Below are 22,244 nucleotides of genomic sequence, written 5' to 3'. Positions count from 1 at the left end.
CTGAACAAAATGTTCAGGGAAAACTAAGAATTAGTGTGGAAGTTGATGCTCCAAAATAAGTCTTACTTTTACCAGAATTCAGATTTCTACCACCTCATATCCTGATTCTCCACCTACTCATCCTAAAGGAATATAGTTATCCTCTGCCCTGCCCTACACCCCATATTAATAACCATTTTAGGCTGGACATGGTGGTTTATGCCTGCAATCCTAGCATTGTGGGAGGCTGAGGCAGAAGGATCCCTTGAACCCAGAAGTTCGAGACCAGCCTGGGCAACATAGGAAGACCCTGTCTCTACCAAAAAATATTATTTCAATTCATTTCTGGCTTATCCTTCCAGCATTTCCTTTTTACAAAGGATAGTTTCCCTATCCTTCTGCCCTAAGTATGAATAGACAACCAAGAATCTTCCAGCATGTGGGAAAAACCAGCACCATGAATTAAAATGACCAAAACTAAACTAATAGAAAAATTAACCCTAAAGGAAAGAGAAGTAACTTAAAGAACCAGGAGAAGCTGGGCATGGTGGCTCATGCCTGTAATCCTATCACTTTGGGAGGCCAAGGTGGGCGGATCACTTGAAGCCAGGAGTTTGAGACCAGCCTAGCCAACATGGTGAAACCCTGTTTCTACTAAAAATACAAAACCTAGCTGGGCATGGTGGTGCCCACCTGTAATACCAGCTGCATGGGAGGCTGAGACATGAGAATCACTTGAACTTGGGAGGTGGAGGTTGCAGTGAGCCAAGATCAAGCCACTGCACTCCAGCCTGGGCAACAGAGTGAGACAAAAAAAAAAAAAAGGAAAAAGAAAAGAACAGAACCAGGAGAAAAGTTTTTAAATTATCTTATTAATATGCTCAGAATAATAAAACAGTAAAATGTTTTGGAAAAATAAATACAAGAAATAGCTCTTTGAAATTAAAATTATTCCTGAAATTTATTATTTATTTATTTATTTATTTATTTATTTATTTATTTTTGAGACAGAGTCTCACTGTGTCACCCAGGCTGGAGTGCAATGGCGCGGTCTCGGCTTACTGCAACCTCCACTTCCCAGGTTCAAGTGATTCTCCTGCCTCAGCCTCCAGAGTAGCTGGGATTACAGGGGCCCGCCGCCACTCATGGCTAATTTTTGTATTTTTAGTAGAGACGGGATTTCACCATGTTGGCCAGGATGATCTGGATCTCCCGTCCTCGTGATCCACCCGCCTCGGCCTCCCAAAGTGCTGGGTTTATAGGCATGAGCCACCGCCCCCAGCCAAGCCTTACTATTAAGAACCTCAGAAAAATAGAACTTAAAAAATAAAAAGAAGTAACCACTTAATGCATATGGTATTTCTTTTTGAGGTGTTGAACATGTTCTGGAATTAGTAGTGATGATGGCTGCACAACCTTGTACATGTACTGAAAACCACTGAATTGTACACTTTAAAATGGTGAATTTTGTTACATGAATTTTATGTCAATTTTTAAAAGTCATCTAAAAAAATGAAAGGGAGGGAATTGTTAAAGATATAGATAGATAGGTATTTCCTGAGCTAAGAAGGTACTCAAGCTTCACACTGAAACTTTTGGGATCTTCTTTTTTTTGTTGTTTTGTATTCTGAAATATTATGAGGGGATATCTAGATATAGACCTTATTTCACTTATTCTGCTCTATGAAATAATGGTGGAAATTTGGAAGAAAAAACTTAGTTTGCTTGAGGAAGATTCAAAGATACATAGAATTTGATGAATAAAGCTGTAAACCAAAGCAGTTGGTGTCCCTGAGTTCCACAGTACCATTGCTTCAGAGTAATCTCTTGAAGTTCTATGGGGAGAGATATATTTACATTTGGACACACTTAAGTAGGGTAGCTCTTGTGATCTCTAATTCCAGACTTGGAGATTCAGGTCCTGAAAACTTCACAGAGGGAATCCCCACAAGAAGCTTGGTTTGTTACCATTCTTGTTGAATTTTGTTTTGTTTTGATGACATGGTGGGGTGGGACAGGGATGGGTTTTTTCTCTGTTGATTTATTTTGTAAATATGCAAAACATGTTGCAAAAGTCAAATTTTATTTTATTAATTTATTTATTTGAGAGTGGGTCTCACTCCGTTGTCCAGGCTGGAGTGCAGTGGCGTGATCTCAGCCCCCTGCATCCTTGACCTCCTAGGCTCAAGCAATCCTCCCACCTCAGCCTCTCGAGTAGCTGGGACTGGGACTGGGACCACAGGCATGCACCACCATGCCTGGCTAACTTTTGTATTTTTTGTAGAGACGAGGCTTTGTTTCCCAGGCTGGTTGCAAACTCTGCAGCCTGTTTCCCAGGCTGGTTTTGAACTCTTGAGATCAAGTGATCCACCCGCCTCGGCCTCCCAAAGTGCTGGGATTACAGAGATAAGCCATCATGCCTGGCCAAAAATTATTTTTTAAAAGAAAACACAGAGAAGTCTTGCTTTCATTCCCCTCCACTCCATCTCCCCATACCATTCCATAAGAGTAGACCCTTTTAATTGGTTTCTAGCCTATCCTTCCAGCACTTCCTTTTGAAAACATAAGCAAATACATATATATGTTCATATCCTGCTTCTCACCACCCTTTTTTATGCAATAGGCAGTATACTGTATACTCAACTCTAGACCTGGAGGCAGTGATTCTATATAGAGTTCCACCTCCAGATCACTTTATAACAGTACATAGAAGCTTCTGGTTTGAAAATGTCAGAGCTTAAAGGAGGAGAACAACCACTTAACTATTCAGATAGAAGTAATATTCCCTTGCTCCTTTTGAATAAAAATTGAAAACAGGATATTGTCTTGGGATTCTGCATGAGGAAGCAGAAAATTAGATTTCCTGGGAATTTCTTCTACACTGAAGAATGAAATTTTACACTCTATCTGACAATAGTAAATATCAAACCATAGCTTAGCTGTAATTGCCATTTTAGTTGTTATATGGATGTGTTTCTGCTTTAAAAGATCACATTCTCTGTAGGCTTTAGATTGGTTTATATTTATTTATGGACTATTGATTGTAGCCTTTTTTTTTCTTTTCTTTCTTTTTTTTTTTTTTTTTAATTTTTGAGATGGAGTTTTGCTCTTGTTGCCCACGCTGGAGTGCAATGGCGCAATCTTGGCTCATTGCAACCTCCACCTCCCGGATTCAAGCGATTCTTCTGCCTTAGCTTCCCAAGTAGCTGGGATTATAGACGTGTGCCACCATTCCCAGCTGATTTTTGTATTTTTAGTAGAGATGGGGTTTCACCACGTTGGCCAGGCTAGTCTCGAACTCCCGACCTCATGTGATCCTCCCACCGCAGCCTCCCAAAGTGCTGGGATTACAGGCGTGAGCCACCATACCCGGTTGATTGTAGACTTTTGATTGGTATTTACAAGGACCCATGAGAGGCAACAAAGAGAAGTTGTCAAGAGAACAGACCCTGAGACCAATAGTTTGGCTCAAGCTCTGGCTCCCTAACTTCCTACCAGTTTGACCTTGGGCAAGTTACCTAACATCTTTGTGCCTCCATTTTCTATTTGTAAAAGGAAACTAATAGTAGTGCCTACTTTATAATAGAGTTATTACAAATATTAAATGAGTTAATATTTGTAAAGTAATTAGAAAAATGCCTGGCACTTCAAAAGCAGCCTTCATTTATTCTTTGGAAATAATTTTAAATGAATTCAAGGTTTATATGTAGCTTTTAGGCATATATACATAAATGTCACTGTAAACTGCAGAATATCCGATCTTTAAAATTTTTTGGTTAAATTTTATCATAATATGGTAACAAATCACATTTATTGCTTTTAGGTGTTAGCGATAAAACAGAGTTTGTCAGTTTTAGTCTCTTATGTAATGGAACAGAAATACGATGAGCCCAGTGGGAGAAAGCAGGAGGAGTTCTTGTCCGTCTCTACTTATACTTTTTGTTTTTTTTAAGTTACTAAATATTTTTGACACTGATTTTTGCTTATGAATAGTTTTGAAGTACCAATGAAAATGGGTTCTCACCCAAGTGAGAATAGTTTTGCTAAAAAGGTAGAAATAAAAGAAATTGAAGGAGCAATTCTACTTGATGGTAAAACAGTGATGTTGTTATATGCTATTCACATTTTAGTTTTCTCCTCTTCCCATTAGTTCTTTCTGTACAGTTTAAACTGAATCTGGAATTTTCTTATAGAGAATTAGCTTTACATGATCAAGTACTGTCTATTTAGTTACTCTGGAGGCTATTACTTCCCCTCTCAGTTCCTCCAAATGGTCTGGAGTGAAGAAGGAATCATTTTTGTTTCTTCTGTAACCCAAAGATTAGCTATTTTTTCTTGTTTTTAAATTTTTATTTATTTATTTATTTATTTATTTTGGAGACTGAGTTCCACTCTTGTTGCCCAGGCTGGAGTGCAATGGCACGATCTCAGCTCACCGCAACCTCTGCCTCCTGGGTTCAAGCGATTCTCCTGTCTGAGCCTCCCAAGTAGCTGGGATTACAGGCATGTGCCACCACACCCAGTTAATTTTGTCTTTTTAGTAGAGATGGGATTTCTCCATGTTGGTCGGGCTGGTCTTGAACTCCCGACCTCAGGTGATCTGCCCACCTCGGCCTCCCACCTCCCAAAGTGTTGAGATTACAGGCGTGAGCCACCATGCACAGCCTGTTTGTTTTTTTTTGTTTTGAGTTCATGACTTTTTTTTTTTGAAATGGAGTCTCCCTCTGTCACCCAGGCTGGAGTGCAGTGGCTCGATCTTGGCTCACTGCAACCTGCCCCTCCCAGATTGAAGCGATTCTCCTGCCTCAGCCTCTCGAGTAGCTGGGACTACAGGCGCCCACCACCATGCCCAGCTAATTTTTGTATTTTGGTAGAGACGGGGTTTCACCATATTGGCCATGCTGGTCTCGAACTCCTGACCTTGTGATCCGCCCGCCTCAGCCTCCCAAAGTGCTGGGATTATAGGTGTGAGCCACAATGCCCAGTGAGTCCATGACCTTCTAAAAGGATTAGCTTTTATTGAATAAAATATTAAATGAGGAAATGAAAATTAATTTCAGGTCTTCTTTTGTCCTGTTGATCTAGGGTAAATAGTTTTACTGTGCCTTTGCTTCTCCTTCTGTAATAAAGAGTTTTTAATATTTACTTATATTGTGGTTAATGTCAAATTACAGCTGATACATGTATCTAATTTGGATTATCTAGTATTCAATAAAAGTATATTACACATGTGAAGGTGTATAGAAACTGATAATAGACAAACAGGCAGATGTATTTCTGAAATTCGTGTGTAAATTATCTTTAGATGAATGGAGTCTTTTTTTTTTTTCGAGACACGGTCTTTTTCTGTTTTCCAGGCTGGAATACAATGACACCATCATAGCTCACTGCACCGTCGAACTCCTGAGCTCTAGAAATCTTACCCTCGCAGCCTCCAGAGTAGCTAGGACTGCATGCATATACCACCATACCCAGCTAATTTTTTAATTTTTTGTACAGACATGGTCTTGCTTTGTTGCCAGGCTGGTCCTGAACTCCTAGCTTCAAGCTATCCTTCCACCTCAGTCTCCCAAAGTGCTGGGATTACAACCATAAGCCACTGCACCAGGCCTGATGAATGGAACCTTTTAAAGTCACTAATAGTCCAGGCACTGTGGCTCATACCTCTAATTGCAGCACTTTGGGAGGCCAAGACAGGAGGATCACTTGAGCCCAGGAGTTGGAGACCAGCCTGGGCAACACAGGGAGATCCCGTCTTTATAAAAAGAAAAATTAGCAGATGTGGTGGCACACACCTGTGGTCCCAGCTACTTGGGAGGCTAAGATAGGAAGATTGCTTGGGTCCAGGAGGTTGAGGCTACAGTGAGCCATGTTCGGGCCACTGCACTCTAGCCTGGGTGATGGAGCAAGACCCTGTCTCAAAAAAATAAAAAAATATAGGCTGGGTGCGGTGGCTCATGCCTGTAATCCCAGCACTTTGGGAGGCCGAGGCTAGTGGATCACCTGAGGTTGGATTTCGAGACCAGCCTCACCAACATGGAGAAACCCCATCTCAACTAAAAATACATGTGGCACATGCTTATAATCCCAGCTACTCAGGAGGCTGAGGCAGGAGAATCGCTTGAACCCGGGAGGTGGAGGTTGCGGTGAGCTGAGATCATGCCATTGCACTCCAGCCTGGGCAACAAGAGTGAGACTCTGTCTCAAAAAAAAAAAAAAAAAAGTAAAAAGTCACTAATATATAATATGTAATAAACAATTGTTTTTACAATGAAATCACCCGTGTTTGATTTATTTATGAGTTTGGATTTTTTAAAAAAAGGATTCGTGTCTGTGAATGATAGTTAGATATTAGTAGTATCATCCTCTATGTCATGTTCTCATAATAATTTATATGTGGTTAGCAGCATTTATCACATCTTTTATAGCTATTTTTATGAAACTCTGTCTCCTAGATGATGAGTTAAATAGGGACAGGAACAGGTAATATTAAACTCTCTGTGTCTGGCACTAATTGTTGGATAGGTGTGGTGGCTCACTCCTATAATCACAGCATTTTGGGAGGCCATAGTAGGAAGTTTGCTTGAGCCCTTGAGTTTGAGACCAGCCTGGGCAACAAAGCGAGACCCCTATCTTTACAAAAACTTTTTAAAAAATTAGCCAGCCATGGTGGCATGCACCTATAGTCTCAGCTACTCAGGAGGCTGAGGCAGGAGGATCACTTGAGCCCAGGAGGTCAGGGCTGCAGTGAGCTATGTGCACGCCACTGCCCTCCAGCTTAGGGGACAGAGCAAGACTCTGTCTAAAACAAGACAAAAACATAAATTTGCGTATTCAGGCTGAATAAATAAGGGCATGAAAGCTGTGGAACAGACAATTTAGAACAATGCATAATCCTTAAATCATTTGTTTTGGGAGTAAATGAAACCAGTTACCAAACTCAGAGTAGTGGTGTTTTTGTAATTTGGGACTAAATATTTGGAACTTGAAAACATTTTTCCATAATTTTTTTTTTTGAGATGGAGTTTCGCTCTGTTGCCCAGGCTGGAGTGCAGTGGCACGATCTTGGCTCCCTGCAAGCTCCGCCTCCCAGGTTCACGCCATTCTCCTGCCTCAGCCTCCCGAGTAGCTGGGACTACAGGCGCCTGCCACCACGCCCAGCTAATTTTTTTGTATTTTTAGTAGAGACGGGGTTTCACCATGTTAGCCAGGATGGTCTCGATCTCCGGACCTCGTGATCTGCCCGCCTCGGCCTCCCAAAGTGCTGGGATTACAGGCGTGAGCCACCGCACCTGGCCACATTTTTCTATAATTCTAAAACTGTGGTCATGTTCACAGAATAGACTATAAAAATACTCACGCCTGTAATCCCAGCACTTTGGGAGGCCGAGGAGGGTGGATCACCTGAGGTCAAAAGTTCAAGACTAGCCTGGCCAACATGGTGAAACCCCATCTCTACTAAAAATACAAAACATTACCTGGGCATGTTGGCGGCCGCCTATAATCCCAGCTACTTGGGAGGCTGAGGCAGGAAAATCACTTGAACCTGAGAGGCAGAGGTTGCGGTGAGCCAAGATGGTGCCATTGCATTCCAGCCTGGGCAACAAGAGCGAAACTCCGTCTCAAAAAAAATAAAAAAATAAAAATAAAACAAAAACATATAGATAGATAGATAGATAGATAGATAGATAGATAGATAGATAGATAGACAGACCCTTAACATAGCTGGATAGTACTGTTGTACTGGTTGTACACCTGACTTAAAGGTCCATTTTGGGTATAGAAAGAAATTTGTCAGAAGGGAATTTTTTCTTCCTTATCTCAGTGAGGGGCTGATCCTATTTGTTTGCTTTAGTTCTTACCACTTAGAACTTCGTGGCTAAATCATCTTTTGTTCAAATCTGAGATCCATCTATATGACCTTTTGGAGAGTAAGTTACTCTCTTGAACTAGAAGTTTCTTCTTCTGTAAACTAGGAATAATATTTGTATTGCAGAATTGTGAAAAGTAAATAATGTGGTAAGGAAAATAAAGTACCTAACATGGTTCTGGCATAGAGTAAATTCCCAATAAAAGTTAGTTTCAGCCTTCTGTTTTTCCTTCCCTCTTCTACCTGCCTGTATATCATCTTACCCAGATTTTTCATATCTCTCAAGATGCTCCATGCTCCAAAATGGCCTACCGTTCTTCTCCCCCAGTCAGAATTCTTAGCTAAATTGTAGGAAAAAAGATGATTCACTCTGATGATTAAATAACAGTTTTTCAAGACATGCTCTTTAAACTCATAAGTCTTTGGTAATTTATTTGCAATGTAACAGTTCATTTTAGCAAAAATCAGTCAAGGTGAAAGAAGGGTAGTCTTAGATTTGTGGGATACAGTGGCTATTCCAGGAGTCAGTTCTGTTCTGTTGCTACTTTTCCTTCATGTGAGACCATAGATTGTATAAAATCATTCAGGTTTTTATTTTTCATCTATTTTCTTTCATTATTGTTTTATAATAAACTACAATCAGCTTTTTGTAGGAAGATGGAGAGCAGGTTAGGGGCCATATGCGAGTTATTTTTAAATGCCTGGATTTATTTGATTGTGGGCATGCTATCTTATTCTGGAAGGTAATACAATTTTGAATGTAATGAAACCACACTGTAGGAGAAATCCCACAAGTTCTCAGGAGGAATAGCATTCTTTTCCAGACAAAGAGGAAATGCCATTCTAAAGAGAACAGGCTCCACCCGCTTGCTTGCTTTCTGCCTCTATCCTTCTATCCTTCTGTCCTTCTGGTGAAAGTAATTGACTATATTTATATGGTTTTTTTTCCAGACGGTGGGCTGAAGAGGTTGTGCGAATTAGATAAAGATAATGCTCATGTGAAAGGACTGTAGTAAGCAGAGTTGTTTGTATTTGAAATAAAAAGCAAGATTTGCACTATGGTAATAAAAATCATCAGCCTGAGCCAGACACAGTGGTTCACTCCTGTAATCCCAGCACTCTGAGAGGCCAAGGCGGGCAGATCACGAGGTCAGGAGATTGAGACCATCCTGGCTAACATGGTGAAACCCCGTCTCTACTAAAAATACAAAAAAATTAGCCAAGCATGGTGGTGGGTACCTGTAGTCCCAGCTACTCGAGAGGCTGAGGCAGGAGAATCGCTTGAACTCAGGAAGCAGAGCTGAGATGGTGCCACTGCACTACAGCCTGAGTGACAGAGTGAGACTCCGTCTCAAAAAAAAAAAAAAAAAAATCAGCCTAGGCTCATGGCTAAGTGACAGTATAGGATAGATGTCTTTCCTAATGATACATAGTTTTACTGAGCAGAAACCCTGGCAGAGCTGGCTAGATGATGGATTGTCCTGGGTTAGGTACCTGGTTACAATGCTAATTCCATGTAGTTGGGATTTTTTTATCCCCTCTTGCTCTATGGATAGAAAACTATTTAGCTAAGAAGTCTTCCCGCAAACACACAGCCAAAAATAACCTATAATCTCCTAGTTAGTGATTCATTTTGACAACTTCCTCCCACCACTGACAAAAGTTATGCCTATTAATTATTCACATCTTAGAATTTAATCACATCAAATAAACATCTATAGGAAAAGAATAAATTCCTAGAACTTCCTAGGGATGGGAGTTTTTATTGAGGCTGAAAGAAGACATGAGTGAGGTAGTCCACGCTGGATAGCTAGACGTCAGCTTGAGAGTAGTAGGCATCTTGGGTGTGTTGTAGGGGGAGCAATAAGCAGAAGTAGGAGATTATTTATAATGGAAGGGGAGATCGAAAGACAAACTTTGGAGTTTAGCTTGCCATTCTGGTGGTGACAGTGGGCCACTGAAAATCCTCTATGATGTCTTTAGCCTGAGTTGAAATACAAATACAGGTTGAGCATCCTTAATCCAAAATCTGAAATGCCCCTTTGAGCATCATATTGGTGCTCAAAAAGTTTCAAATTTTGGAGCATTTCGAATTTTGAATTTTCTCATTAGGGGTGCTCAACGTGTACTAGTTTAGAAGTCCTAGGCAAATCCAATATAGCCCACTCTTTTTCCTTCTGTTTCCTTCCTATCCTCTATTGGAAGAAGGTAGAAAAGAAAAATAGCACAAAAGGAATTAGAAGAGAGGATATAGCTCCACTCTCCTTCCCTATTCATTTTTATAGACCTCTGAAACCTGTCTTCAGATATTTGCTATATATAGTTTTTTTAAGCAATGGAAAGACAAGTGTTACATAGTTTAAGTGAAACTGTAACTGAGTTTTGTTAAGTGAACAATACTCATTATTGGCATCATAGCATTAGCAAAGTTAACAGTTATGGTAGGCCAGTACATTTATACAACACCCATGAAAATAAATATGTTTGGGTTGTGTGTGGTTTACATAGTTGAAGCAAATATTGTTATAGTGCCTCATAGTTACTTGTTGAATGAATGAATAATAGTATAGGTGGGGAAATAGGTAGTACATATGTATACAAACATAAAAATAATAATAAATTGTAATAAATCCTAGGAAGAGAAAGAATAAGGTACTTGATGGAAAATAACAGAGGATGACAGCGAAGGAATCCAGTGTTTTTCATGTGAACCTTGAAAACTCCTAGTTTTGGCAATTTATTGATGTTTTAAAATATGCAGTAAACAATTTTCATATAGTACTATTAAAACTTGATAATCATCTATGTTTTCTCCTATTTATTTTTTTCTTTTAGCATTTATTAGCCATTCAAACTGTTTATTCTCTATATATGAAATTCAGGGTGTATTTTAGTTTTTATTAGATCATTGACTATAAACATTTGTTTGTATTTCAGCCAAATGAAAAGACCCGTGATCTTGTAGCAAATACACATATTAACTCATCTTACTCCCTCCTCTCATGCTCCAGTTCAGCCAAGTGGAGTGATTTAATTATGTATGTGTAGACTTAGCTGGCAAAATATGTTTTAAAAACTATATTAGGCCGGGTGCGGTGGCTCATGCCTGTAATCCCAGCAGTTTGGGAGGCTGATACTGGCATATCACCTGAGGTCAGGAATTTGAAACTACCCTGGCCAACATGGTGAAACCCCGTCTCTACTAAAAATACCAAAAAGTTAGCCGAGCATGGTGACATGTGCCTGTAATTCCAGCTACTCGGGAGGCTGAGGCAGGAGAATTGCTTGAACCTGGGAGGTGGAGGTTGCAGTGAGCCGAGATTGCGCCACTGCACTTCAGCCTGGGTGACAGAGAGAAACAAAACAAAATAAAACAAAACTATATTAATGGTTTTGTAGTATTTTCATAAAAATCTTTTTTTTTTCTGAGACAGGGACTTGCTCTGTTGCCCAGGCTGAAGTGCAGTGGCATGATCAAGGCTCACTACAGTCTTGACCTCCTGTGCTCAAGCTATCCTTCCACCTCAGCCTCCCGAGTAGCTAGAACTGTAGGCATGTGCTACCACACCTATTTATTTTATTTATTTATTTATTTATTTATTTATTTATTTATTTATATTTTCAGAGATGGGATTTCACCATGTTTCCCAGGCTGGTCTCAAACTCCTGGGCTCAAGCAATCTGTCCTCCTCAGCTTCCCAAAGTGCAGGGATTGTAGGCATGAGCTACCACATCCGGCCATTTTTCAAGACTTTTAAATGCTAAATTTCTATTTTGATTGAAAGATGACCATTCAAGTTCACTTAAAGTGGCTGAGGTGAGAGGACTGCTTGAGGCAAGGAGTTTAAGACCAACCTGGCCAACATAGTGATACCCTGTCTCTATTTAAAAAAACGAATTTACCTAAAGCTAATGGGGTGGTAGCTTTCACAGAAATCCAGAATTTTAATTGTGAAAGTTCCTGAGTCTCTTTTAAGAAAATGAAATAGTAATCCGAAATTTACTCCTTTTGTCTTGGAAAACTTTATTGTAAGTTATGTGACCGAAGACCAACCCAGAACAAGAATGAGAAAATTGGAGCAGGTCATAATTTGGTTGTTGATTGAAAGCTTCCCTCTCTCTTAAATGGGGGAGTGGGAGGGAGCGGAATCTTGCCCGTTTTTATCTGCATTCCATCATGTTAAGAATATTATGAAGGAAAAATTTTTAAACCCTAAGTTAGTCCTATTTATGGTATTTCACCAAAGCTTAATGTATTCAAATGAAAGAGCTTTTTGTTTTATCAGAATAAATGATTATATTTCTGCTCTTAGAATTTTTAGTTAGATAGTATTGTCTTTGCTTTATACTTCCAATTATAAATCTCAGCCCTAACAATCTACTTAAAAGTTTACTTTTTTTCCCTTTTGCATTTATTACTACTCTATCCCAGAAGACATTTTGGGATATATGTCTATATCCCAGAAGACATATAACTGTTATAAAAGATAACAGACTAGTGTCTTTGCTTTTCACCAAGGGAACAACATTCCTTATTAATGAGGCACATTCCTTATTAATGACTAGAAAAGGGATATCATTGATAGCAGTATCTTAATATGCCATTTTGGGAGTTTCTAGAAATCAGCTGAATTCCATTACTGTTAACGTAGGCAGGTATTAGAATCTCTTATCCTTCTCATGTGAGTGAAAACTGTGGCATAGAGAACTGACTTTTCAGCTGCAGGCTGCCAGAATATAGTGGGCCTTGTAAGGGTGGGAGTCCTTCTGCCAAGGAGCTCTGTTCATGCGCTGTGTTTGACTTTCATTTCACTTTATCTTGAATGTAGGTTTGCCTTATCTGAGAATTCACAAAAAGGCGATTTTTAAGTGGTTTAGTAAAATCACTGGAGTGTGGGATTTGCCAGATTTAGCATACTCATAGGATGCCTAATATATCTGAAATACTGCGTAGGACATACTTACACTAAAAAATTATTTGTTGTCTGAAATACAAATTTAACTGGGCATCCAATATTATATCTGACAGACCTACTAGGGTAACTATAATTTATCATCCAAACCAGAACAGTTTTGAGAGTGAAACGGGGCTCTATTCATAATTATGCCAGAACAGCAAACATAAACTAGGACTATCCCAGAAAAATTGGAAAGTATAGACAACCTAATTATATAAGGGGTTTTGAAGTAATTTTTAATTATGAATTTTAAATTTTCATAACCAAGCACATCTCTATGTCATTAACTTATGTGGCTGTGAATCTTTATAAGTGTAAAGTGTATTGCTTTGTAATTTTTTTTTTTTTTGAGAGACAGGGGTCTCACTCTCACCCTGGCTGGAGTGTAGTGGCACTGTTGCAGTTCACTGCAGCCTCAAACTCCAAGTGATCCTCCCGCCTCAACCTCCCAAGTAGCTGGGACAGCAGGCATATACCACCACACTTGGCCAATTTTGGGGGGAGAGACAGGGTCTCACTGTGTTGCTCAGGCTGGTCTTGAACTCTTGACCTCAAGTGATCCTCCCCCCTCAGCTTCCCAAGTAGCAGGGATTACAGGTGTGAGCCACCACGTGCTTTATAATTTTTATATTAAAATTTTGATTAGGGCACCTTAAAAACTATGGTGAGCTAACTGCTAGCTTCAGCCTTGGTACTTGGTTAAAGTTCTCCTGGTGGTAGGAGGCTACCACAAGCACATGAGATTCTACAGTTTCGAATTTTTAAAATTATTTCTTCTTTACAGTTTTGTTTTGTTTTGTTTTGTTTTGAGACAGAGTCTCGCTCTGCCACCCGGGCTGGAGTGGTGCAGTGGTGTGATCTCAGCTCACTGCAACCTCCACCTCCCAGGTTTAAGCAATTCTTGTGCCTCAGCCTCCTGAGTAGCTGGGATTACAGGCAGCTGCCACCATGCCCAGCTAATTTTTGTACTTTTAGTAGAGATGGGGTTTTGCCATGTTGGCCAGGCTGGTCTCGAACTCCTGACCTCAGGTGATCCGCCCACCTGGGCCTCCCAAAGTGCTGGGATTACAGGTATGAGCTACCGCACCCAGCCTCTTTACAGTATTTTTATATGTGTACTTCACCATCAGCAGTTATAACTTTGACAAGAAATCCCTTGTGTTTTTTTTATTTGGCTTACACCTTCTCTTTTAACTTATTTACTTTTTGTTTTTTGGGGTATTAAGTAATAACCTATTATTCATATTTAGCTTCATTTTCTTAATTGTATAGCCTTTTATCATCTTCCCTTGCTTAACCCTTGACTAATTTCATTCTAAAAAATCATCCATAAATATTTGAATACCTGCTATCAATGTGAACTACTCTCCTAAGTACTACAGTAAATATGACATGTAATAAGACTTGGACCATATCCTCAAAGAGTGTATAGTCTGTACTTAATATAGAGGTCTCTCCATAGCTTTGTATATTTCATTTGGTCTTTTCTCTTTTTCAGCTTATATCTCTTTTAAAAATATATTAATCTCTTTCAAAGTATGATTATCTGTATGTTAGAAATAGGTGTTCCATGGTTTTTGAATAGAAATGGTATGTTTTTGTTTTATTCTTATATCTGTTCTGTTGATGCATAGGTTTTTATAGGAGTGTTTTTTTTGTTTTTGTTTTTGAGACAGAGTCTCACTCTGTCGGCCAGGCTGGGTTGCAGTGGCATAATCTCAGCTCACTGCAATCTCCACCCTCCCAGGTTCAAGCAATTCTCCTGCCTCAGCCTCCTGAGTAGCTGGGGCTACAGGGGCCCGCCACCACGCCCAGCTAATTTTTGTACTTTTAGTAGAGATAGTGTTTCACCATATTGGCCAGGCTGGTCTCGAACTCCTGACCTTGTGATCCGCCCGCCTCGGCCTCCCAAAGTGCTGGGACTACAGGCGTGAGCCACCATGCCCAGCGGTTTTTATAGGAGTTTTAACTACATTAGGTGTCTTCAGGAAATAGCCTATAATTGCTAGATAATTTTTTTGTGTTATAATTTATAAATTGAAATGAAAATGTGTCAGAGTCCAATATACTTAACCAACTTTTGAGCAATGAGTTGTTCCACATAACAGTTTTCCAGATTATTTTACCTATTAACACTTACAGGATTAGTGTCAGGTTTCTCTAAAGGAAAAATATTCCTTAAATTATTTTCTTCCTTTTATTGTTTGAGGGTTAACGCTTGTTTCATATAATAATGTTAATTTTCACCCAGGCTGAAGTGCAGTGGTGTGATCTTGGCTCACTGCAACCTCCTCCTCCTGAGTTCAAGCGATTCTTCTGCCTCAGCCTCCCAAGGAGTTGGGATTACAGGCACCCACCACCATGCCCAGCTAATTTTTGTATTTTTAGTAGAGACGGGCTTTTGCCATGTTGGTCAGGCTGGTCTTGAAATCCTGACCTCAGGTGATCCGCCCGCCTTGGTCTCCCAAAGTGCTGGGATTACAGGCATAAGCCACCGCGTCTGGCCTTACTGTTTTTAAATGTACTTCACATTGCTCTTTTTGTTATTTTGAAAAGATACAAAATTATTTTGCTTCATATTTATATAGTAAAAAACTCAAATGGTACAAAAGCATATATAGGGCAAGGTCATCCCTGTCTCCCAGCCACCAGTTCTCCTCACCCAAGATAACTAGTTTTTTATGAGTATTTTGTATAATCCTTCTGGAGATTGCATTTACAGGTGATTATTTATATATTCTCTTTTTTCTTTTTTTTTATACAAATGGTAATGTATCATACACAGTTGTGTACTTTGCTTTTTTTCACATAACACTATGTTTTGGGCATTATTCCTTACCAGAATAAGCTCTTTTCTTCTTTATACATGCATAGTATTCCACCTTACAAGGTCCCTACTAATCACTTTTTTGGTTGTTTCCAATAATTTGCTATTATATACAACGTTTAATTAATAGCCTTCATGAAGGCATGAATATTTGCATGCCTTAAGAAAATTTTTTTAGTCTAAAGGTAATATGCATTTATGGTAAAAACTTAAAACACTTTAAATATTACCAAAAATAATGCAGTGAAAAATAAATCCCCTAAACTTCTAGTACCACTTCCCAAATGTAATACTTTCTTGTGATTATCAATTTGTTTGATTTTTTTTCTTCTTTTCCTTTTTTAAAAAATAAATGGTTGTGTGGTATCCCCACTATATATGTATAAATCATAACTTATGAAGTTCCTCTTTGGTGGACATTTAGGATGTCTCCAGAGTTTTTTTTTTTTTTTTTTTGGATGCTACAGACAATGCTACAGTGAAAGCCTTGTAGATATCTTTGCACACATGCAGGTGTTTCTATCAAGTAGAGTCCTAAAAGTACAATTGTTAGATCAAGTAATGTACACATTTTAAGTTTTGATTAGTTTTACCAATTGGCTCTCTAAAAAGGTAATACTATTTGATACTTCCACCGGTAGATCCTTGCTAACTCTGGCTATTATCAAACTTTTGATTTTTAAAAAAAGTTTGCCAATTTAATAGGAGGAAATAAATCTTATTCCTATCTGAATTTCATTTATTATGACTGATTTTGAGAATTTGGCCATTTCTGTTTATTATGAATTTTCTTATTGATTTTTTTTTTTTTGAGACAGCTCTGGAGACCAGGCTGGAGTCCAGTAGCATACGGTTCACTGCAGCCTCGACCTCCTGGGTTTAAACAATTCTCCCACCTCAGCCTCCTGAGTAGCTGGGACCATAGGTGCTCACCACCATGTCCAGCTAATTTTTAATGTGTTTTTTAGAGATAGAGTCTTGATCCTCTTGTAGTTCATGAGCTTGATAATTAGGTGTTCACATACATGTGTGAGACGTGCCACCCTGGAACCTTGTTACAACGTTGGCACATTACCCATTTGACATGAAGGGAAGGGAAAAACCAAGAGAGACGGAGTCTCACTATGTTGCCTAGGCTGATCTCAAACTCATGGGCTCAAGTGATCCTTCCGTCTCAGCCTCCCAAAGTGTTGGAGGATTACAGGCATGAGCCACCACACCTTACCTGTTACTGACTTTTGAGTGTACTTTTTTCTATCAAGAAATTAGTCTGTGATCACATACGTGACAAATATTTTTTCTCATTTTGTCATTTTCTACCTTGTGCATGGTCTGTAAATATACATAATTTGACCCTGGAGAGAGAGGAGTGGAGGGTAGGGAGAGGTAAGGGTAAATTAGTGGAGGATCCATATCAGTCAAGCTGCTAACCACTTTTTTTTTCTGTAAGTGCTAAACACATTTTAAATAAGAAAAATGATTAGCCAGGTGTGGTGGCATGTGCCTATAGTACCAGCTACTTGGAGGCTGAGATGGGAGGATCACTTGAGCCTGGGAGATCAAGGCTGCAGTGAACCATGCATGATCAGGCCACTACATTCCAGCCTGGGTGACAGAGTGAGACCCTGTCTCAAAAAAATAAATAAGAAAAATGACGTGACAGAAACAATAGAGGGCTTTTATCTCCTTAGAGGAAAGAATATAAAAAAGACTATATAATATTTAGTTGGTATGAAGTGTAGTAACCATGCTGAAAATGTATTTGTTATATGTGTTTTTCCCTCTAGAGGTTTTGTCAGCTATGATTAGTGTGCTGTTGGTGTATATACTTATGGGATTCCTCTTATATGAAGCTGTGCAAAGAACTATCCATATGAACTATGAAATAAATGGAGATATAATGCTCATCACCGCAGCTGTTGGAGTTGCAGTTAATGTAATGTAAGCTCTATTTTTTTCACATTAATATTTTCAAGTACTGTGAACTCAGAGACTATTGCATATGCATTCAGTAATATTCAGTGATATTTTGATATTTTAAAAATGATATAACTCATTAACTTTTCTGATAAATGAAACACTATGGACGTTATAAATTCCTCATTAGTTTGCCCAGGTATATTGGAGATTGAGTCAAAATCATGAATTTAAGTAGGACAAAGTTTTTTGTTCTTGTTTAACTTTTAGAATACTTTTGTGTTAACTAGATTTTTTTTCTTAAGCTATCAATTTTTTTCCCTTAAAACTTTTTAGGGAAGAAAGTTTTGAAAGTTTAAGTTAGGCCACATACAGTGGTTCACACCTATAGTCCCAACAATTTGGGAGGCCAAGGTGGGAAGATCACTTGCGCTCTAGAGTTCAAGACAGCCTGGCCAACATAGTGAGACCTCATCTCTTCTAAAAATAAAAATTAGCCAGGCACGGTGGCTCGTGCCTATGGTCCCAGCCACTTGGGAGGCTAAAGTGGGAAGGTCACTTGAGCACAGGCAATCAAGACTGCATTGAGCTATGATTGGGCCACTGCACTCCAGCCTGGGCAACAGAGCAAAACCCTGTCTTAAAAACAAACAAACAAAAAATAATAAAGTTGAAGTTAACAGATTTAATCATTTAGACCAGAGTCAGCAATTTTTTTTCTGTAAAAGGCTAGATAGTAAATATTTTAAGCTTTGAGATCTATATATTCTCTTTCAAAGCTACTCAACACTTGTTATAAAACAAAAGCAGCCACACTTAGCATGTAAACAAATGAACATGGCTGTGTTCCAATAAAACTTTATGTACAAAAAAAAAATCAGTGAGCCAAATATGATCTACCAGCCACAGTTTACCAATCCCTGCCCTAGTGGCTTCTATTTGTACTTAGAATGAAATGAATTTTTTTCTAAATTTTATTATTATTATACTTTAAGTTTTAGGGTACATGTGCACAACGTGCAGGTTTGTTACATATGTATACATGTGCCATGTTGGTGTGCTGTACCCATTAACTCGTCATTTAGCATTAGGTATATCTCCTAATGCTATCCCTCCCCCCTCCCCCCACCCCACAACAGTCCCTGAATGTAATCAAATTTTTACTGCAGCCTTGTTAGTAAGACTCTGTGTACCTCTACCACTCATCTCCTAGCACTTTTGCTCACTTTATTCTGGCCCACAGTGGCTGCTTTCTTTTTTCAAGTACACAGAGCACATTTTCATGTTGGGGCCTTTGCTCTGCTATTCTTCCGCCTAGAACACTCTTCCACCACTTGCTCTCTGACCTCCTTCAGGTATCTGCTTAGAGAAAATCTGAGAGGCCTTCCCTTACCACTCTGCCCATCATCCTCCATCCCCTTACAATGCTTTATGTTTCTCCAAAGCATTTCACATTGCCTGGCTATACCTTATGTACTTATTTGTTGGCTTCTCTGCCTTCTCTACTAGAACATAAGCTCCATGGGGGTAGGGATATGTCTATCTTACCACTGTTTTGACCCAAGTACCTAGAACAGTACTGATAAATAATAGTTGCTCCAAATTTATTAAATAAATGAGTTCCATGTTACCTCATTAGTGTCTGACTAGTGACAAATGTTTTTGTCAATATTGGGAAAAATAATAATGTTTTCTTTTATTTTTAACAGAATGGGGTTTCTGTTGAACCAGTCTGGTCACCGTCACTCCCATTCCCACTCCCTGCCTTCAAATTCCCCTACCAGAGGTTCTGGGTGTGAACGTAACCATGGGCAGGATAGCCTGGCAGTGAGAGCTGCATTTGTACATGCTTTGGGAGATTTGGTACAGAGTGTTGGTGTGCTAATAGCTGCATACATCATACGATTCAAGGTAATATGATTGGTAATTTTTCTATTTTAAAATGTACTTAATTTCAACATGAAAACTAAGGCTGATTGTCATATCAGTATACTGGACACCAGTGCCAGTTCTATTCATTTTACATTGATGTAAGTTTACTTGACAATCATTATAGTTCTTTTGTTAGCAGTAAACAAAATGATATCACGTCACAGGGTAACTTATCTGTATTTGGCTTTTGTAGTGCCTTCACTGGATAAATCAATTTTCTTATTTATTTATTTATTTATTTATTTTTGAGACAGAGTCTCACTTTCTCGCCCAGGCTGGAATGCAGTGGCACAATCTTGGCTTACTGCAGCCTCCGCCTCCCAGGCTCAAGTGATTGTCATGCCCCAGCCTCCCAAGTAGCTGGGATTACAGGTACACACCACCATGCCCAGCTAATTTTTGTATTTTTAGTAGAGACAAGGTTTCGCCATGTTGGCCAGGCTGGTCTCGAATTCCTGGCCTCAAGTGATCCACCCACCTCAGCCTCCCATAGTGCTGAGATTACGGGCATGAGCCACCATGATTGCCCAGATAACTCAATTTTAAAACTCGTGATTGAATTACTAGGTAGTAAAATGTGCACTGGACTGAAAATCCAGAGATCTGAGTGGGTTCTAGTCTTGGCTCTGCCATTAATGCTTTGACCTTGAAAGCAAATACCTGAACTCTAAACTTGAGTTCCCTCTTCTTTATTACAAGGGGCTTAAACTAGTGGCTGCTAAAACTTTTTCCAGAGCTGAGTACAGTGGCTGTGCCTATAATCCCAGCTGAGGCTGGAGGATCAGTTGAGCCCAGGAGTTCAAGAGCAACCTGGGCAACACACACACACACACACACACACACACACACACACACACACTTTTTTCCAGCTTTGACACACACACACACACACACACACACACACACACTTACTTCTTTCCAGCTCTGATATTCTAGAACATTTAGAGATGGCACAAGGAACAATAGAACAAGTGATTACATTTCTGGAAATAGGTCCCATGAGGCAAGTAACGTAAACTGTCTAGGATAGAGTGAAGATGCTTTTCAATTACAATATCCAAGTTTTAAAGGTATTCTGTAATTCTGCTAAAGAAAATCAAGCAAGAAGGGACATATTCCTTGCTTTGCTTTGCAGTCTGTTTTATATTTGTCTATTTAATCATAAATTTTGATCTATTACCCTTTAGCCAGAATACAAGATTGCTGACCCCATCTGTACATACGTATTTTCATTACTTGTGGCTTTTACAACATTTCGAATCATATGGGATACAGTAGTTATAATACTAGAAGGTAAGATCTCACTATATCCTCATTATGAGTTTATTACTTCCCTAAAGCAGATTGGGAGTCAGGGGACATTCTGAATAGGAATTACATCTTTTGCTTTTTACTAATACCTTTTAGGCTATATAACAGTACCTTACATGTATGTAACATGTAAGAATTAATGAACTCTCCCATCTTTTACCCATTTGACACTTATAATAGCTAAGCAAAGTAGGTAAGGCAGATAATGTGGTAAATTATCCCCATTTACAAATAAGAAAATTGAGGTTCAGAGGGATAACATACTTTGGTTAAGGTCATGTTGCTAATAAACTGTGGCACTAGGACAAAAATGCAATTCTAGATTATGTATTAATTCCTTAATTCCCACTTAACTTGTGACTTTGTTGTATTTACTGCATTCTTCCCTTACTGATATTATGTGTAAGCATGAAAATAAAAGTTCTTAACAATAGGCTTATTATCATTATATGTTCTTTTCTTTTCTTTTTTCCTTTTTTTTTTCTTAGTTTATCTGTTAATGAAGTATTCTGGTTTGATTGGCATTCCTTTTTAGTGAGAATGAATATGTTTTTAAAGTATGTATTACCCTCTTGTATATATCTTACATTTTTAATAAAAATATATGTGTACATGGTTTATCTTGAAGTATTAATATTTTAAAGTATTTGTTTAAAGTGAATTTAGCAAAGCCATTTGTTTTCTTTGATAAATGTCATCGGTAATGTAAAAGTTCCTTTATTTCCAAAATAAATTTTACTTAGAAATTATATATTCCTAATAGGTGTGCCAAGCCATTTGAATGTAGACTATATCAAAGAAGCCTTGATGAAAATAGAAGATGTATATTCAGTCGAAGATTTAAATATCTGGTCTCTCACTTCAGGAAAATCTACTGCCATAGTTCACATACAGCTAAGTATGTTGCTGGTAGTAAATGTGGGCCTGGGGTTGGTGGACTTCTGCCTTTGAAACTAAACATCCCTGCTTATAATTATGTAGGAAGACTTTTCTGCTGAAAAGATTTGTTTTAAGACAAAAGCCTTTGTCTTTAAAAAACAAAGGCTTTTGTTAACAGCCTTAAACAAAAGGCTCTTTAAAGGGTAAGTTGCAGGTCAGTATTGATACCAGAACAATAATTTTCTATCTCTTTGAGATATTACAAACTGATTTTAACCTTCAGATTAAAGGTATTAAGAATATTTCCTGACTGGCATGGTGGCTCGCACCTGTAATCCTAGCACTTTGGAAGGCTGAGGCGGGTGGATCACCTGAGGTCAGGAGTTTGAGACCAGCCTGGCCAACATGGTGAAACCCCGTCTCTACTAAAAATACAAAAATTAGCTAGGCGTGGTGGTGCATGCCTGTAATCCCAGCTACTTGGGAGGCTGAGGCAGGAGAATTGCCTGAACTCATGAAGCGGAGGTTGCAGTGAGCCGAGATTGCGCCACTGCAGTCTAGTCTGGGTGAC

The 22,244-nt window shown here is 38.9% G+C and overlaps 2 protein-coding genes and 1 non-coding gene across 6 annotated transcripts in view; 2 read left to right on the top strand and 1 right to left on the bottom strand.

Moving 5' to 3' along the window:
• The window catches only part of SLC30A4 (solute carrier family 30 member 4), a 43,150-nt gene that overhangs the window by 14,453 nt on the left and 6,453 nt on the right, over positions 1-22,244 (top strand). For 2 of the 4 annotated variants that reach the window (NM_013309.6, XM_017022560.3), the window contains 4 exons: positions 17,422-17,575; positions 19,261-19,462; positions 20,671-20,776; positions 21,558-21,692. In NM_013309.6, coding sequence (NP_037441.2) covers positions 17,422-17,575; positions 19,261-19,462; positions 20,671-20,776; positions 21,558-21,692 — 597 coding nt within the window. Of the gene's footprint in view, positions 1-5,336; positions 6,256-17,421; positions 17,576-19,260; positions 19,463-20,670; positions 20,777-21,557; positions 21,693-22,244 lie in introns of those variants that run through there. The other 2 variants (NM_001321036.2, XM_047433023.1) reach the window with 1 other exon arrangement.
• SLC30A4-AS1 (SLC30A4 antisense RNA 1) overlaps positions 8,255-22,244 on the bottom strand; it is a 51,695-nt gene continuing 37,705 nt past the window's right edge. The window contains exon 4 of the transcript XR_007064611.1: positions 8,255-11,190. The gene's annotated coding sequence lies outside the window, so the exon portion shown is untranslated. The remainder of the gene's footprint in view (positions 11,191-22,244) is intronic.
• On the top strand, positions 16,616-16,719 carry LOC124903596 (small nucleolar RNA U13). Its single transcript, XR_007064824.1, has one exon. It is a non-coding gene; the product is annotated as a small nucleolar RNA U13 (small nucleolar RNA).

The sequence above is a fragment of the Homo sapiens genome, chromosome 15 (genome assembly GCF_000001405.40).
Source record: "Homo sapiens chromosome 15, GRCh38.p14 Primary Assembly".
NCBI classification, from domain to species: Eukaryota; Metazoa; Chordata; class Mammalia; order Primates; family Hominidae; genus Homo; species Homo sapiens.
This window is presented reverse-complemented; position numbering and strand designations above follow the sequence as displayed.